The sequence below is a fragment of the Homo sapiens genome, chromosome 4 (assembly GCF_000001405.40).
Source record: "Homo sapiens chromosome 4, GRCh38.p14 Primary Assembly".
Classification (NCBI taxonomy): Eukaryota; Metazoa; Chordata; class Mammalia; order Primates; family Hominidae; genus Homo; species Homo sapiens.
This window is the reverse complement of record NC_000004.12, coordinates 19,348,830-19,368,866: the sequence shown is the minus strand read 5'-3', so window position 1 is coordinate 19,368,866 and position 20,037 is coordinate 19,348,830. Positions and strand designations below refer to the sequence as shown.

Sequence of the window (20,037 nt, the reverse complement as noted above, 5' to 3'; positions counted from 1 at the left end):
GTCTCACACGTCTCTTTAATGCGTAACATAGTGTTTAGGGGAAAACTTTTGAATCAGATAGATCTCAATCCGACTACCAGATTCAACACCTTCTAACTATGTGACCTTGGGCAAAACCGTAAAGTAATTAAACCTCTTTTCTCAGTTCTAAATGGGAGCATGGCAGTACTTTTCAGAGAGGACTGTCAAGTAGATTATATGATATAATGGCTATAAGATCCTTACATAATCTTGCATATGCTAAATGTTCAATAAATGATGGTTATTATAATATTATTTTAGCCATCAACAGTACTGTGCCATGACAGTTAGTACTCATCAAATAGTCCTCCACATTTCCAGCTTCCCTTGCAATTTGTTGGGACTGCCTGGGAATGAGAAGTGAGGAACAATGATGTTTGTTGATTCAGGTTAAGACAATTCAAAGTTGTGTGCCTCCTTCTTTCTTCTTTTCTTTTTTTGAGAAAGAGTCTTGCTCTGTTGCCCACTGCACTGGAGTGAAGTGGTGCCATCTTGGCTCACTGCAACTTCCGCCTCCCAAGTTCAAGGGATACTCCTGCCTCAGCTTCCTGAGTAGCTGGGACTACAGGCGCATGCCACCACGCCTTGCTAATTTTTGTATTTTTTTTTTTTTTTTAGTAGAGATGGGGTTTCTCTGTGTTGACCAAGATGGTCTCGATTTCCTGACCTCATGATCCAACCACCTCGGCCTCCCAAAGTGCTGGGATTACAGGCATGAGCCACCGCGCCTGGCCTATGCCTCCTTCTTCTCTCTCTCATTCCTTAACACAGGAACTTTGGCTGCCACATGTTCTGCATAGTATAGCTACAAAGTGAAGGAGGTTCAGCAATACACATAAAATTTTACACGAATGGAAAATGTCTCTATGGACATGTTAGGGTTACTTTATTTTATTTTACCACAACACACCCTAGCCAAAAAGGATTAATTATGATCTTTTGAGACAGGAATGGCAAATGCAGTGTTCCCATTTTACAATTAGATAAGCTAAAGATCAAAGATTTTCAACAATTTATCTGAAGTTTCAGAAATAACTGATAGTACCGGGATTATATTTCAGATATTTTAATCCTGCAGATTTTTTTACCATAGAAGTCAAGGGATTAGGGAATTGAGTTTACAATCCTACAATCAGGGAGTACTTATGGTAAAGATGTGATTCTATCCAGTGTCTCTTAATTAGCCAACATTTCATTCAAGATATCTATATTCATCCCTCATCAAAATAGGTGCTTATAGAATAAGAATAGACTATATATTAAGCTCTTGGAATTCCTTATAAGAAATATATTTTTATTATAGTAGGTGTCACTTGGTGGTAGGTTAATTATTAAAATGCCACTTGCTTTACAGGAAAAATAAAAATCCCTAGGATTGATTTTACATGTATGTAGTGCTTCACAGGCTGAGAATATCACTTTGAAATTGCAGAGATGTTGAATGTGGATCACCTTTTTTTCCTTACATAAATAAAATTCAGTAATTCACTGTTAATTTGGGGCAAATAAACTAAAATTTGCTCATCTTATTCCTAGGGGAATTGCGGCTTTTGGAATCCTCACTTCCTTTGTTGTTCATAAATGAATCGAATAGTCATTCTAAAATTAGTGAATGGAACTGAATTCCAAAATTTTTATTATCTGAGTTGACTGATCTTGTGGATGTCATTCCCCTCTTCCACACCCACCCCCAGCACCTGCCAATTTCCACTCCCAATTTGTTAGGTGGAGCAAACATTGCCAGACTCAAGTCTTGCTATTATTTCAAGGAAATTACTCACATTGTGAATACTTTCCACTATTAATAGTTCTTTTTTGACAAATTGATATTCATTATGTTTCCTTTGGAGAAATGCATTCAAATTTATAAAAGTTCTGAAAAACACCTTTAGCTGGTTTTATTTTCTTTCTCACCATGTACTCAGGCCCCTTCTAACACAGTTTGTACAAAAGCATTTGCTTTTTTGTGATAGTTCTAAAAAGCAATACTGTTTTTAAGGAGAAAACTTTGCTTTTAACAATTTCAGCTGAGCTCTTACCAGTTCTTGAGTAAATGATCTGTATAATGAATACTGGATATTTCATCAGACCTAGGATCTAGTTTAGGTTCTTCTAACAAGTAGCTGTTTGAAAATAGAAAACTCATTTACTTTTACTGAGTTTTAATTTAAAATCCAGTAGTGTGGGAAGACAAAGATCTCCTGGGTCATTTCCATTTCTAACTCTGTGCATTGGTGTATGCATGGCTCTTTCATTTAATAGTCTTTTACCAAGACTTGTGCAATGTATTTCTAACTAATCTCCTGTATCTAATCTCTCATCTACCACCCACCAAACAGTTCTCTTCTCTGTAATCACTCATCTTGTAACAGCTTTATTAAAATATAATTTACTAATATAAATCTTCCCTATTGTAATTGTACAATTGAATGATTTTAGTACATTTATAGTTACATTACAATCATCATAATTCAGAACATTTCATAAACCTCAAAATCTCTCTTGTGCCTGTTTCATGTAATCTTTACTTTCACTACCAATCCTATGCAACAGCTGATTTGCTCTCAATCTTCATAAATTTGCATTTTCTGAGCATTTCATATAAATGCAATTATACAATATGCAATCTTTTGTGTCCAGCTTCTTTCACTTTGCATGACATCTTAAGTTTTTTTCACATTAGAATGTTTATCAATAGTTGATTCATTTTTATTGAATAATAATATTGCTTTATATTGCTTTACATTTTGTCCGTTTACCAGTTGGTAGGAATTTGGATTATTTCCAAATTTTAACTATTATAAAAAATGTTCCTATGAGCATGTGTATACATGTCTTTGGGGAACATAGGTTTTCTTTTATTTTGGATAGACTATTAGGGGTGGAATAGCTGAGTCTTATGGAAATGTTAACTACTATGTTTAAGACATTGCCAAATGGTTTTCCAAAGTGGTTGTATTATTTCACATTCCAGTCAGCAATGTATGAAGGATTCAGTTTTTCCATATTCTGCCCAAATCTTGTATTGTCTCTCTTCTTGATTATATTCATCTAATTTGTGTGTAATTATATCTCTTGGTGCTTCTAAATTGCATTTTTCTAATAGCTAACACTTTTTAGTAGCACTGTTCATGTGCTTACTAGACTTTGATAGTAAAATCTTCAATAAAATATCTATTTAAATAATTTGCTTATTTTAATTGTGTTGTTTATCTATTATTGAATTGAAAGTGTCCTTGATATTACAGATATAATTCATTTTATTGAATATATGGCTTAAAATATTTTCTTTTAGTCTCTGGACTTTCTGAAATTTTTGAGGTGCCAAGTTTATCATTTTCATAAAGTCAAATATATGTATTTTTAAATGATTATTGTAATTCTTAACACTCATTGTTCAACCTTAGATCATGAAGATTTTTCTCCTACATTTTATTTCAGAAGTTTTATAGTTTTAGCTCTTACATTTAGATAACTAACAATTTTGAGTTAATATTTTTGTATTATGATATGACTTGAGATTCTCAGTTCCTTTCCTTTTCCTTCTATTTCTCCTTCTTAGTCTTTTTGGCATAGGGATTTACAATTGTCTCAAAATCAATTGGACTCACAGTTGTGTTTTATTAATCTATGTGTATTTGTGCCAATACACTATCTTGATTATTACGGCTTTATAGTAGGTCTTCAAATTGGATAGTAGTGTGCATTCTCTAACTTGGTTCTTTTTCAGAAGTTTTATGGCTATGCTTGGTTCTTTAAATTTCCATATAAAATGTAAGATCCACGTATCAATTTTTACAAACTAAAAGCCTACAAGGATTTTGAAAAAAGAATGAATGGAATTTACACATCAATATGAGGGGAATACTTCTTTATCAATACTGAGTCTTCCAACTTGCAAAAGTGAACTATCTTTTTATTTATTTTAGATTATCACTAATTTCTTTCAGCTATGTATTGTAATTTTCAGTGTATGAGTTATTATTTGTTATTATAACTCAGAATTTTATTATTTTTGATTCTATTATAACAAGTACTGCTTTTGTAATTTCTTTATCAGGTTTTTTATTCTTACAATAGAGAAAAAATTGATTTTTGTACATTAATCTTGTATCCTGCAATATGCTAAACTGATTTACAGTCCTAGTGCCACTCCTCCTTCCCCATAAAAACTTCAGAATTTTGTTCAGAGTATCAGTATCATAAACACATTTTACTTGTTCCTTTCCAACCTGAATGCATCTCTACCTCTATTTCTATTTATTTTTCTCTCTTTCTCTCACTTTTTGCCTTTTTCACTGGTTACAACCTCCAGTACAGTGTTTAATAGAATTGACAAAAGTGGAGATCTTCACCATATTCCAAATAGTAGGAAAAATATATTGTCTTCCTTTATTAACTTTGATGTAACTTGTGGATTTTTAAAGATACCCTTTAGGACAGGTGAGGGTGGCTCACGCGTGTAATCCCAGCAATTTGGGAGGCTGAGGTGGGTGGATCACCTGAGGTTAGGAGTTCAAGACCACCCTGACCAATATGGTGAAACCTCGTCTCTACTAAAAATACAAAAATTAACCAGGCCTGGTGGCAGATGCCTGTAATTCCAGCTACTCGGGAGGCCGAGATGGGAGAATTGCTTGAACCCAGGAGGCGGAGTTTGCAGTGAGCGCCACTGCACTCCAGTCTGGGCAACAGAGCAAGACTCCCTCTCAAAAAATAAAAATAAAATTTAAAAGTTAAAAAAAAAAAGGTATCCTTTAACAGTTGAAGAGGCACCCTTCTACTTTGAATTTGTCGGGAGTTTTTATTATGAATAGATGTTGCAATTTTCAATGCATTTTCTATCTCTATTGAGATAATCACATGGTTATTGTTCTTTATTCTATTAATATGGTATATAATATTAATTGATTTTTGATTGTTCTACCAACATTATATTCCTAGAACAAGCTCCATTAGACCATGGTGTATAATTGGTTTACAGATTGCTGGATATGGTGTGCTCATACTTTGTTGAGGACTTTGGAGGTATATAATTTTTATTGATATTGGTAGGTAGTACTCTTTTCCTGTGATGTTTTTGCCAAGCTTTAGTGTCACGGTAACATTGGCCTTACAGTTTTCATTTGGTAGTGTGCTCTTCTCCTCTATCATCTGTAATGCCTTGTGAAGACTTAGTATTATATATTCTTTAAATATTTCATAGAATTTACAGCGCAGCCATCTGAACCCAAGCTTCTCTGTGTGGGAAGATTTTAAACTGTTATTAAACCTGATGTTGAGACTCATAAACAAAGTAAATGGCATGGAGGTTACAAAGATAAATTAGATATATTAATGTCTTTTGATACATATTATTGCAAATAGGCATTTTCTACATTAACATTATTACAGTCAAAACACTACTATCCTTTGAACTGGGCCAGATAATATTTCTTTCCATTGTCTAGCTTTGGAAAGGCAAGGCAATTTATGAAAAATAGTATCATCAAACACAGTAAATTAATGATTTAAAGTTAAATTTTAATGTTTGGCACTTTTTGTATACAGGCATACCTCAGAGATATTGTAGGTTTAGTTCCAGAACACTGCAATAAAGCAAATAGTGAAATACAGCAAGTCACACAATTTTTTGGTCACACAGTCTTTTTGCTGGTGGAGAGTGTTGCCTCAAAGTTGATGGCTGCTGGCTGATCAGGATGCTGTCAATTGTGTCAAACTGCAGGGTTTGAGATACTTGCTGCTTTACCAAGTTTATGTAATATAATAAATCCTTTGTTGTTCTTTCAATAACCTTCACAGCATTTTCACCAGAAGTAAAATCGATCTTAAGAAACTACTTTCTTTTCTCAACCATAAGAAGCAACTCCTCATCCATGATGAGATTGCAGCAATTCAGTCACATCTTAAGGCTCCAATTCTAATGATACTTCTTTTACTGTTTTCACCACATTCGCAGTTACTTCCTCCACTGAAGTCTTGAACCTCTCTAAGTCATTCGTGAGGACTGTAACCAACTTCTTCAAAACTCCTGATAATGTTGATACGTTGACCTCCTCCCATGAATCATAAATGTTCTTAATGGCATTTGTATTTTCAAATGGTGAATGCTTTCCATAGGTTTTCAATTCATGTTCCCAAGATCTATCAGAGGAATCATTATCTGTGGCAGCTATAGCCTTATGAAATATATATCCTAGATAATAAAAATTAAAAGTCATAATAACTCCTTGATACTCAGGCTACAGAATTGATGTTTTGTTGGCAGATATGCAAGCAACATTCGTCTCCTTGTGCATCTCCATCAGTGCTCTTGTGTGACCATCACATTGTCAATGAGTAATATTTTGAAAGGATTCCTTTTTTTACTGAGCACTAGGTCTCAACACTGGGCTTAAAATATCTAGTAAACCATGCTCTAAACAGATGTGTCGTCATCAAAGCTTTGTTGTTCATATGTAGGGCACAGGTAGAGTATGTTTACCATAGTTCTTAAGGGACCCAGAACTTTTGGAATGGTCAGTGATTATTAACTTTAAATTAAAGTGACCAGGTGCATTAGCTCTCAACAAGAGAGTTAGCCTGTTCTTTCAAACTTTGAATCCAGACATTGTCTTATCTTCCCTGGCTATGGATGTCCTAGATGGCTTCTTCTCCCAATGGAAGGCTGTTGTGTCTTCATTGAAAATCTGTTGTTTAGTGCATCCACCTTCATTAATTATCTTAGCTAAATCCTCTGGTTGATTTGCTTCAGCTTCTACACAAGTACTTGCTTCTTCAACTTGAAGTTTGATGGTATGGAGATGGCTTATTTTTTAAACTTCATGAACAAATCTCTGCTACCTTCCAACTTTTCTTCTGTAGCTTCCTCATCTGTCTCAGCTTTCATAGCATTGAAGAGAGTTATGGCCCTGCTCTGAATTAGGCTTTGGCCTAAAGAAATGTTGTGGCTGATTTCATCTTTTATCCATACCACTCAAACTTTCTTCATATCAACAATAAGCCTATTTTACTTTCTTGTCACTCATGTTTTCACTTGAGTAGCACTTTATAATTTCCTTCAAGAACTTTTTCTTTGGATTTACTACTTGTGCTATTTGGCACAAGAGGCATAGCTTTTGACTTATCTGAGTTTTCAACATGCCTTCCTGACTAAGCTTAATCATTTTTAGCTTTTGATTTAAAGTTACAGATCTGAGACTCTTTCTTTCACTTGAACACACAGAGGTCATTGCAGACCTATTAATTGGCCTAATTTCAGTATTGTTGTGATTCTAGGAACAGAGAGGTCTGAGGATAAAGAAAGAGATATGGAATGGTTGATCAGTGGAAGTGGACTAGTTGGAACACACATATTAACCGTTAAGTTTGCCATATTATGTGGGTTTGATTCATGATGCCTCAAAATAATTAAAATAGTAGCATCAAAGATCACTCTTTATGATCATCATACCAAATATAATATTAATAAGAACAATAAAGTTTGAAATACTGTGCGCATTACAAAAATGTGACACAGAAACACAAAAATAAGCACATGCTGTTGGAAATCTTGCTCCATGCAAGGCTGCCACAAAGCTTCAATTTGTAAGGATGACATTATCTGTGAAGTGCAGTAAAGCAAAGTTAAATAAAATGAGATATATCTGTATTTAATGTATATATATTTTTCCTTTTTCATGGCTGTAAAACAAATAAAAGCACAAGAAAATTATATTGATTTCATATTATAAATATTTCAATAGTTTATAATACAAGTAATTCAATCAATAGCAGAATTTCAGTTATAACTTTTCTGTAAAATTGTATTTTACATCACTGATATTTGAACAACATTGAAACATGATTTTTTTCATTCTACTCCACTGTCAAATAAGAAAGCCATAGAAAAGTAGCAGAAAGGGGAAAGGAAAATGGGAAGGAGACAGGAAAAACCATTGTTACTTAAAAAGATATTGTGGATATATATTATTGTTCCCAGTTTTATGCTCCATTTTGTTTAATAGAACCTCATTACTTGCTGCCCAGTGCTGTGTGATTTGCAGTGCCTTCCTAGGGAGCAATATGTTTCTTTGGATCATTGGCAGCTCTGGTCATGTGAGTTGATTTGGTCAATGGACTATTATTGAAAATGACATATATCCATAACACGTTTTTACTGGTTCTCTTCCTTTTTTTCATTTGTCACAAGAACAGCATGTTCCAGCTAGAGCCCCTTCCTTTATCCTGAATCCTGTAGTGAGAATACACTGCAGTAGACGCTAATAAAACCCTGCTCTAGGAATAGTTGTTGCGAGGTATTTAAGACACGAGAGAGCTCAAGGGGCTAGACTGTAAACTGCAAGTAATTCCACTAAACCAGAAACTAGAACTTTGAATTTTCTATTTTTATATGATTCAAATCTTTCATTTATCAAACTATTTTAAAATTTCCATTATGAGGCCTTTTTTTCATTGACTCTCATACAGGTAATATAAGAAATGATTCTTTGGGTTGACTGAATTAGGTGGTGAAATATATGAAGCATTAAACACATTTTCTTTCTTACTGTCATTGGTTATCTGTTTTGTTTTGTTATTTTGTAGTCCCAACTGTGGCTAATGTTTGATGTATACATTTTTCTGAAGATATATTACACTGAAAATTCTTGGCTTTCCTTCAAATAACTCCTCTATTTGAATAACTTCTTTCCATTTTCTCCACCAATGTCTTAGTTTAGCTTAGCTCAGCTCCCTACCTCTTGACTTATTTTTGATCATTTCCTAATTGTTTTTCTAGCTCTAATCTCTCCATCACTTATCCAAAGCCAGATTTATCTAGTAATTTCCTTGATCAAATAATCTCCCCTTCCTCACTCTTCTTGTCTGGCTTTTCATTCCTCCTTAATCAATCTTTTGCTTAATTGTTTTCCTCTTCTCGTTTCCTCTCCAAAAACTACACTCATCCTGCCAATCTCTGTTTTCTTGGCTTTCTTCATATACCTCATCTTGAATTTTCTTTTGTGTCTCTTTTCAGACAATTTCTACCAATCCCTCAAGGCTTTATTTAATATATTCATCTTCTTAAAAGCTTCCTTGTCAAGATCAGGAATAACAGTGCCTGGTGAGGAGTTGTCCTCTGAATTCCTATTGTTTTCTATCAATACAATAAAATGTATTGTTGAATATGTTCCTGTTTTGTATTAATGAACTCTGTCTTTTGAATGATGCTGTTGTCTTCTCAACTAGATTGTAATATCCTTATGCGCAGGAACTGTGGTCTAAACTTTTCTGCAGTCCACACCATGCCTAGTACTCTACTGAGGGCACAGTGAAATCTCAGCAAATGTTGTCTGTTTGAGAACCAACAAAAGTACTTTTCTTTTTTTTTTATTTCTAACTTAATAACTTCAAATTTGTATTTCAATAATTTCTTAAATGAGTCACCTTATAAAGTTAAATTAATCCATTAGTCTTATGGAACATGCATACACAACATAAATACATTCAAAATTTAAAATTTGCAATGTATCTTTATTTTAAAGATTTTACTTAATTCGCTTTTGGTCAAATTTCCCCTAATATCCATGTATATTCATATAATCCAGTCTGAATCCAAGGGTTAATTAAACTTGGAGTTGCTCCCTTTGGTGTGTGACTATAAATGGTGATTGTGAAGGCTATAGGGGGCATATCGTATCTGTTGTCTCTCTTTTTTTGTCCTTTTTGCAGCTGTTGATGTTAATTACAATATCTGTTCATTCACTGAAAGTTGAATAATTATGAATTTCTAATTTTGTTTCTCATTTAGTAGTTGGACATTTTTTATGGATTTTATATTTTTTAGTGCAGTTTTAAATTCACGATAAAATTGAGAGAAGGTACAGGGGTTTCCAACATAATTCTTTGAACCCATGCATAGCCTCCTTCATTATCAACATCCTTCACCAGACTGGTACATTCCTTACAATTGATAAACCTACACAGACACATTGTTGTCACCCAAAGTCCAAAGTTCACATGAAGGATCACTCTTGCTGTTATACATTCTCTGGATTTGGACAAATGAAAAATGACAAATATCCAGCATTACGGTATCATAAAGAGTAGCTTCACTGCTCTAAAACTCCTTTGTTGTCTGACTGTTCTTTTTTTTAAATTAAACTATTTTTATGATAATGATAGATTCACATGCAGTTGTAAGAAATAATAGAGATATGCTGTGCACCCCTTATCCAGTTTCCCCCAATGGTAACATCTTGCAAAACTACAATACCGCAATCATAATCCTGACCTTGATACAATAAAGATACAGAACATTTCCATCACCTCAAGAATCCTCTATATTGCCCTTTTAAAACCATATCAATTTTCCTCCTACTCCCGCCCCTGCCCCAAGGCCTCCCTATCTTTAACTTCTGGCAACCACTAATAGGTTTTATAATTTTTTTATTTATAAAATATTGTATAAATTGAATGATAAAGTAAGTAATCTTTTTGTATTGGCTATTTTGAGTCAACATAATTCTCTGACGATTCATCCCATTTGTTGTGTGAATGAGTAATTTGTTCCTCTTTTGTTGCTGAGTAGTATTCTATGGTATGGATATTGCTTAATAATTTATTCATTGAAGGACACCTGTGTTATTTTCCAGCTTGAGCTATTACAAATAAAGCTGCTATGAACATGTGTGCACACGTTTTTGTGGGAAATTACATTTTTATTTCTATGGAATCAATGCCCAGGAGTGCAGTTATTGCATCATATGGTAGTCACCTGCTAATTTTTAAAGAAACTACCAAACCACTTTTCAGAATGTCTGAGCCATTTTATATTTTCACCAGCAATATTATAATGATACAGTTTCTCTACATCCTTACCAACATTTGGCTATTTCATTATTTCTTTTTTATTTCAGTTATTTTAATAGTAATGTACTGATACTTCATTTTGGTTTTCATTTGCATTCTCCTCATAACCGATGATGTTGAACATATTTGCTTATTTTCCAGCTATGTATAATCATCAGTGAAGTCTCTTTTCTTTGCTTTTACCCATTTTCTAATTGAATTTTTACTTCATTATTCAACTTTTAAGAATTCCTTATATATTCTAGATATTCATCATATTTTGTATATATGCTTTACAAATATTTTCTCCCAGAGTGTAGCCCTCTTTTCATCCCCTTAAAAGAGCCTTACACAAAGCAAGTTTTTAATGTTGATTCATTCTAATTTAGGAATTTTCTTATGGGTCATGGGCTAAGAAATGTTTGCCTAACCCTAGATCCTGAGGATTTTCCCCTATGTTTTTTGTTTAAAGATTTGTAATTTTCCATATCACATTTAAGTCCATGATTTGCTTTGAGTACATTTTTGAATTAGGTCAAGATTTCTCTTTTTCTTTTTTTGGCTTATAAATTCCCACTAGTCCCAGGATCATTTATAAAAAGGATAATTCTTCCATTGAATTGTTTTTTTACCTTTGTCAAATTTCAGTTAGGCATATTTGTATGGGTATATATTACTGAGTTCTTAATTTTGCTCCATTACTCTATGTGTCTATTCCTTTAGTAATTACAGTTTTGATACATAGGTACATAAGTTTAAAATCAGATGGACTGATTCTTTATTACTTTATTTTTCTTCATTTTTCTTTCACAAATTGGTTTAACTATTCTAGTTTCTTTATCTTTTCATATTAATTTTAGAACAATCATATCTATATCTAGAACTGAAATCTCTACTACATTGAATCTTCTAATCATGAACACAATGTATCTTTCTATCTATTTGGATTTTTAAATTTTTTTCATCAGTATATTGTAGTTGCTGGCATACAAGTACTATACACATTTTGGTAGATTTACATCTAAATATTGTATTTTTGAGGAATTGTAGTTCAGAGAATTTAAAAACAAAATCGTAGTGAAGAGAATTTTAAAAATATATATTTAATTTGGGTGTCCACAAGTTTATTTATAATATATATAAATATAATTAATTTTATGTGTTTATCTTGTATTCTGTGGCTTTGTCAAACTCATATGTTACTTCTAATAGATTTTTGTTTTATTTTTGTAGATATGTAAAGATTTTTCTATGTAGAGAATCAAGAGTCATGTCATCTGCAAACAGGGCCAGTTGCATTTCTTGCTTTCTGATCTGTAGACCTCCTTCTTGCTTTATTGCTCTGGCTAAAACTTCTAGCATTATGATGGGTAAAAATGTTGAAAGAAGGCATTCTTCCTTGGGCTCGGTCTTATGGGAGAAGCATTCAGCCTTTTACAATGAAGTGTAAATTAGCTGCAGGTTTTTGTGCATGTTCTTTATCAAGTTGAAGGATTCTCTTCTATTTCTATTTTCCTGAAAGTTTTTCACAAGAACAAATGTTGAATTTTGTCAAATGATTTTTCTGTAAGGATTGATATAGTTATCTGATTCTTCTTGTTTACACTGTAAATATAATTCGATATATTGATTGATTTTTAAAATATTAAACCAGCTTTAAATTTCTCCAATAAACTCCACTTGATCTTGCTATGTAATTCTTTTAAAAGATTGCTGAATTCTGTATGTTGATAATTTGTTAAAGATTTTTGCATCTATATTAGAGAGGGATATTGGTGTAGTCTTCTTATTTTGATAATATTGTCTTTGTCTGGATTTGCTATCAGGGTAACACCAGCTTTATATATTAAATGTAAAATGTTCCCTTTTATTTTCTGAAAGAGAATTGGTATTCATTCATTGAACGTTTGATAGAATTATACAGTGAAACCGTATGGACATGGAATATTATTTTAAACAAGAGAAAGAGGTTTCTAAAAAGGAATTTTTTTCAGTTATAGCATTACTCAAGTTATCTATTTTATATTGGACGAACTGGAGTGGTTTGAGTTTTTCAAGAAATTGGTCCATTTCATCCGTTTTCAAATTTGTGTGTATAGAGTTGTTCAAAGCATTTCTTTACTATCCTTTTGGTATCTGCAGGTTTCTTTAGTGATGTCCTGTGTTTAATTTTTGACATTTGTAATTTGTGTCTTCAGTAACATTTTCTTTGTCAATTCTTGATAGAGGTTTGTCAATGTCACTGATCTTTTCTAACAAACTACTCTGTTTCATTGAATTTGCCTATATAACTTGCCTTTGATTTTCTAGTGTTTAATATAAACAATTGCCTTTTAAAATTATTTTCTAAAAGTGACTATTTATTATATTACTATTAATTCATGAATTAAAAACATTTGACGAGTTTCAATCTGGTGCAAATATTGTTGTTTTTAATGTTTAAATTGTCCCAATTTTTGCTAGTGGGACTCCTCTCTAAGTTGACTCTTTTGATGTGATACAGGCATTCCTTGATTATCTTATAAACTCTCTGGTATAATGATACATTTCAGGCTTAAATTGTGCATTTTCTGATCCAGATTTCAAATCAGTCTTTTAGCTAAGAAATATGAAGTATTTTAATAAGAAATGATATTTTAGGCTGGCGTGGTGGCTCACACCTGTAATCACAGTTCTTTGAGAGGCCAAGGTGGGTGGATCATGAGGTCAGGAGATCAAGACCATCCTGGCCAACATGGTGAAACCCTGTCTCTACTAAAAATACAAAAATTAGTGGGGCATGGTGGCATGTGCCTGTAATCCCAGCTACTCAGGAGGCAGAGGCAGAAGTATCGCTTGAACCAGGGAGCTGGAGGTTGCAGTGAGCCGAGATCATGCCACTGCACTGCATCGTGGCAACAGGGCGAGACTCCATCTCAAAAAAAGAAAAAAAGAAAAAAATTATATTTCGATAGCATAGTCTGGGCACCAGGAATCCTTACTGCTATTGGGTTAATCATTTTTTTCTAGGTCTTTTGGTGGGAAGTGTTAAAGGAAAAATGTTTTAATTAAAATATATACTATATATTATGTAATCTTATAACAAGTATGTAGTTAGAAAGATAAAATACCTCATGAGTTTATGTGTATAATCATTATTTCTTCACTTTTTAATTTTTATTTTGAAATAGGTTCAACACACAGAAGGTTGCCACCATTTATCACTATTGACTTACAGTTCTGTATATGTGTGTTTGTGCATGTGCGTTTGAGAGTAAGTCAGTGACATGATGTTCATTCTACTAATAACTCCAGTTTCCATTTCCTAAGATCAAGTATACCATCCTTTGTAAACACGGTATCCTCATTAAATTTAGAAATTATCATTGACACAATGCCAGTGACCTTATAAATCATAGATCCCATTAATATTTTGTCCTTGTTCAAATAATGCCATACATACATATATATATATATATATATATATGCAAATAAACAAAACTTCCTCCTTTTTACCCTTTTACCTCCTGGTCAAAAGTCTATCCAGGATCATCACAGCTCATTTAGTGGTCATGCCTCTTTCACTCCCTTGAATTTAGATTAGTTCCTCCTTTCTTGAGCTTGATTTTTTTTTAATGAAAACAGTTTAGTTATTTTGTATAATTCCCTCCCAAGTAGGTCTTTCAACTATTTTACCTTAAATGGATTCAGATTAGCCATTTTTGGCAGAAACAACATAGAACACAGAACAACAACAGAACATAGAAGTGATGTTCCATTCTTAGCATCATATTAGGAGGCACATGATGTCTGATATGGCTTGGCTGTGTCCCCACCAAAATATCATCTTGAATGGTAGCTCCCATAATTCCTATGTGGGAGGTAACTGAATCATGGGGGCGGGTCTTTCCCATGCTGTTCTCATAATAATGAATAATTCTCACAAGATCTGATGGTCTTATAAAGAGCAGTTCCTCTGCACAGGCTCTCCTGCCTGCGGCCATGTAAGAAGTGCCTTTGCTTCTCATTCACCTTCTGTCATAATTGTGAGGCCTCCCTAGCCAGGTGGAACTGTGAGTCAATTAAACCTCTTTCCTTCATAAATTATCCAGTCTTGGGTATGTCTTTATTAGCTGCATGATAACAAATGAATACAGTAAATTGGTACCAGGAATAGAGCACTGCCATAAAGACACCCAAAAATGTGGAAGTGAGTTTGGAACTGAGTAACAGGCAGAGGTTGGAATAGTTTGGAGGGCTAGAAGAAGATAGAAAAATGTGGGAAAGTTTGGAACTTCCTAGACAGTTGTTGAATGGATTGCACAAAATGCTGCTCATCTCAGATTTAGATGAGGGACTTGTTGGAAATTAGAATAAAGGTGACTCTTGCTATGTTTTAGCAAAGAGACTGGAAGCATTCTGCGCCTGCATTAGAGATCTGTGAAACTGAACTTAAGAGAGATGATTTAGGGTATCTGGCAGAAGAAATTTCCAAGCAGCAAAGCATTCAAGATGTGACTTGGGCGCTGTTAAAAGTAGAAAAGGAAAACCTATTTTCTGAGGAGAAATTCAAACAGGCTGCCAAAATTTGCATAAGTAATGAGGAGCCAAATGTTAATAGCCAAGACAATGGGGAAAATGTCTCCAGGGCATATCAGAGGTCTTCGTGGCAGCCCCTCCAATCACAGGCCTGGAGACCTAAAAGGAAAAAATGGTTGTATGGGCCAGGCCCAGGGCCTTGCAGCTTTGTGCAGTCTCAGGACTCAGTGCCCTGCATCCCAGCTGTGGCAAAAATGGGCCAATGTACAGCCTGGGCTGTAGCGTCAGAGGGCACAAGCCCCAAGCCTTGGCAGCTTCCTTGTGGTGTTCAGCCTCCAGGTGCGCAGAAGTCAAGAATTGAGGTTTGGGAACCTCTGCCTAGATTTCAGAGGATCTGTAGAAATGCCTGGATGCCCAGGCAAAATTTGCTGCAGAGGCAGAGCCCTCATGGACAACCTCTGCTAGGGCAGTACAGATGGGAAACTTGGGGTTGGAGACCCCACACACAGTCACCACTAAGGCATTGCCTAGCAGAGCTGTGAAAATAGGGGCCCTATCCTCCAGACCTCAGAATGGTAGATCCACTGACAGCTTGTACTGTGCACCTAGAAAAGCCACAGACACTCAACATTAGCCCATGAAAGCAGCCAGGAGGGGAGCTGTATCCTGCAAAGCCACAGGGGCAGAGCTGCCCAAGACCACGTTAACCCACCTCTTGCATTAGTGTGACCTGGATTGAGACATGCAGTCAAAGGAAATCATTTTGGAGCTTTAAGATTTGACTCCCCCACTGGATTTCAGACTTGCATGGGGCCCGTAGCCCCTTCATTTTGACCAATTTATCCTATTTAGAATGGGTATATTTACCCAATGCCTGTACCCCTGTTTTATCTAGGAAGTAACTAACTTGCTTTTGATTTTACAGGCTCTTAGGTGGAAGGGACTTGACTTGTCTCAGATGAGACTTTGGACTGTGGTCTTTTGAGTTAATGCTGAAATGAGTTAAGACTTTGGGAGACTGCTGGGAAGGCATGATTGGTTTTGAAATGTGAGGATATTAAATTTGGGAGGGGCTGGGGTGAAATGATATGGTTTGATTCTGTCCACACCCAAGTCTCATCTTCAACTGTAACTCCCATAATTCCCACTTGTGGGAGGGACCCTGTGGAACGTAATTGAATCACGTGGGCAGATCTTTCTAGTTCTGTTCTTGTGATAGTGAATAAGTTTCACAAGATGCAATGGTTTTACAAACAGGAGTTCCCCTGCACACGCTCTCTTGCCTGTGGCCATCTAAGGCATGCCTTTACTTCTTATTCACCTTCTGCTATGATTGTAAGGCCTCCCCAGCCATGTGGAACTGTGAGTCAATTAAACCTCTTTCCTTAATAGATTACCCAGTTGTGAGTATGTCTTCATTAGTATTGTGAGAAAAGACTAATACAATGTCTATTTTTCCCATCTTTTGTAATATTAACTTTCAACCATTAAAAAGATGGTATCTGTTTGCTTTCTCCACTACAAAGTGAATAAGTATTTTTGTTGCCCTAAGCCCTGGTGCTACAAGAGGATTGACACAACCCCTTTCTTCACAATTATATGAATGTTATTACAACATCAGCAAAGCAGCTTTGGTCACGTGTCAATCAACAGAATTGCTTGCACATATTTGAAAATTAAACACATAAATGTAAAATTAAGCACATTCTCTGCCTAGAGAAAGGTGTTGCCAACTATTTATTTTAATTTTCAAAGAACATATATTTTCTTTCCCTCTTTGATGATACACCTTTTGAAACCAATGATCATGTCTTAAAAACTGTATACCTTACAGTATGTGACAGTGTCTTGCTTTTAATAAATGTCTAATTATATACATAGCATTGATGTATTTGAGTTGTATCGATTGTGATTTTGAAACACAAAGCTCTTGATTTCATAATGAAACCATTTATAGCATTTTAGTCTTTCAAGTATATATTTAGCATTGCTACATAAATTACTTTATTAAAAAATTAATCAATTTTTAAAGAATAGTGATGCATATGTTAAGAGTAGATACATTTTCTAACTTGAGTCCTCAAACTTACACTACTCTCTTTGAATATTTTTTCACTCTACTCTCCATTCCTACATACTATGGTTGACCTCTCTCACCATATTGACAATCTCATGTTTTATTCACAATCTCATGTATTTATTTAGTTAATTGGAATTAATTGGGTTTCAATCTAAGCTGTCACTTATTCATTACATTATCTTAGGCAGATTGCTTCACCCACGCAAGCCTCAGTTTCCTCTTCTGTCAAATGAGGATTTGAGAAAAAAAATTATTTGTTGATTATCTGGAGTCCAAATTATGATAGAGGGGAAAAGTAGCAATTATACTGTGCTTTATCAGGGTGCTTATATTTCCACTGTAGAACTGGCATTTATATAAGAAACCAATGCTTAGTGCCACCAAAAACAATTCAGTCTTTGTGCAGAGATGAGATGGCCAATTATCAGCAGAACATAAATTAATCTTTTAATTAGCAAAATAAAAATGTCAACATTTCTATCTACAATCATAATTTACCATGAATACAGCAGCTAAATCAAACAGCAGAAACAATAAAAGTAATAAAAATAAAAGACATTAAGAAAAAAGTACAGAATGTTTTTGAGTTGGAAATCAGATACAATGGGGAAACATAGAAAGAGAGAGAGAGAGCAATAGAATGCATGAATGTGTGTGAGATTTTGAATGCCACTAAATTTTAGGGCCATATAAATATTAAACTATAGAATACAGAAACCATACATAGGTATTTAGCAGGGAACTGGAGAGAACCACATGTATCAATGCAATTTCTAAAGAGTCCATAAAGTTAACATTTTTGACCACATATCCTACAAAATGCAAAATTTTCAGGCTATATATAAGTTCATTATGAAAGTGATTATTTAGGCAAATAAAGTAGTAAAATAGCAATTTTAATAAAATTTAAGTTTTATTTCTTTTATGAGACTTGGTGTTTTAAATATAATAATATGCATTGTATGGATTGTCAAGGGCTGGATATGATATGCAGAATCTTCTGAATTTGAAATTCTTTAATTTGAAGCTGCTTAGGAAACTTGTGTTAATGAGACCTTTTTAAATTATTCTTTGTTTTTGCAGTTTTAAATGAGACTCCAGAATTTTACACGTTTTAAAAGGTTTGTGACACAAAACACAAACAAATACACACACCATAATCATACAATTGTCATTCCTGGTACAGTACATAAGATGAGAAGTAAATGGATAACACAAAAGTAGATCAATATAAAATGTTGACAGAGGCAAATTCCTTAATCATTTTGAATTAATAAATTTTAGCTAATAAGTAGTGAATCTGGATTTGAAATAATCATTGGAAACAAACTGCGTAACATGTAAATTTAGTTAAGGCATAGTAAATTCTATGTGATATTTTTATTTCAACCGTTCTGGATTAATCTATTCCATTGACTTTATATAGTTCTAACATTTTATAAAACCAGAATATTTCATGAAATTATCTAGACATGTGGTCTCCATGTGAATATTTTAATTAAAATTACTGTTCCAATATTGAAAAAGCTGATAAACGTAGGGTAACATCTGTGACAGATTGATTGTATTAAGAGTCCCAATTCTGCAACTACTCTGTAACCATATCTTTTGCAAAATAACTTTTATTGATCTCCAGTTCTCACCGTGAACTCTACCATGAGGTTTATTTTGGCCAATGAGATACTAACATGTGACAAAGCAGGAACTTGAAGAGGAACTGTGTGATTGAACTTGCTCAGTCTTGCTTCTCTGCCAAAACCAGGAGAATATTCCTGGGTTAGCCCAGAGAGAATAGAACTGAGTCACTCCAGTGATCCCAACCAAAGCCATCCTACATCAGCCAGTAGTCCTCCAGCCCCTGGGCATCTGATTGAGTTCAACCAACATCAGATGAGCCTCATAGCCAATCTCTTACTGACCACAGATGTGTGACCTAGCCTAAGAAATATCATCTTGCCCAGATGATCCAGATTCAGAATCAACTGAATCTTACCAACTTATTTGTGTGACACTGGGGAATTTTGGTCATTTTATACAAGATCTGTCTTTGGCAATACACAACCAACTGACTGAATAATTCAACATCTGAACCAGGACACATCAATGAATAAAAGGGGATGCTAGATTGTAGTAAATTGGCACCATCCCACACAATTCTGGATACACTTTTGACTTACAATCAGCCCCTGGGTCCCTTGAAGATGGTTATTTTAATGAAGGTCAAAGATGATTTATCTCAGTAACTGATTTCCAAGAGAAATAACTATAAATAAATACAGTCCATATGTGATGCCTGTTGGTGATATAATTTAAGTTTAATACTTAGAAATATTAGAATGGGGTAAAAGAATTATGTAAATTTGTTAAATGGGCCAATAGTTAAATTAAATGAATGGCTGGAGAATAACAAATGACTACTGATATTTGGCCTCAGTGTGGAAAACAACAGGAAGTGGTTTGGACTGAGCTGAATTGGACAATAGGCATCTTGGTTTAAGAGAGTAGCTACTTCTCAGCTTCTGTTGCTTGTTTCCAAAAAGAATATAAACACAGTGTTGCCAGATGTTTCATTATATTCCAGATATTTA

General features: G+C 34.2%; 1 long non-coding RNA gene across 1 annotated transcript in view, besides 1 other annotated feature; it reads left to right on the top strand.

The window, feature by feature from the left end:
• LINC02438 (long intergenic non-protein coding RNA 2438) overlaps positions 1-20,037 on the top strand; it is a 238,399-nt gene that overhangs the window by 88,124 nt on the left and 130,238 nt on the right. The window lies entirely within an intron of this gene.
• Positions 17,085-17,254: an enhancer, noted in NCBI's record as "experimental_77337 CRE fragment used in MPRA reporter constructs". NCBI's record gives its function as "activates a minimal promoter by MPRAs in K562 erythroleukemia cells, with activity observed for the non-introgressed 4:19353321 variant allele {active_cell/tissue: K562}" and the evidence as "EXISTENCE:reporter gene assay evidence [ECO:0000049][PMID:34662402]".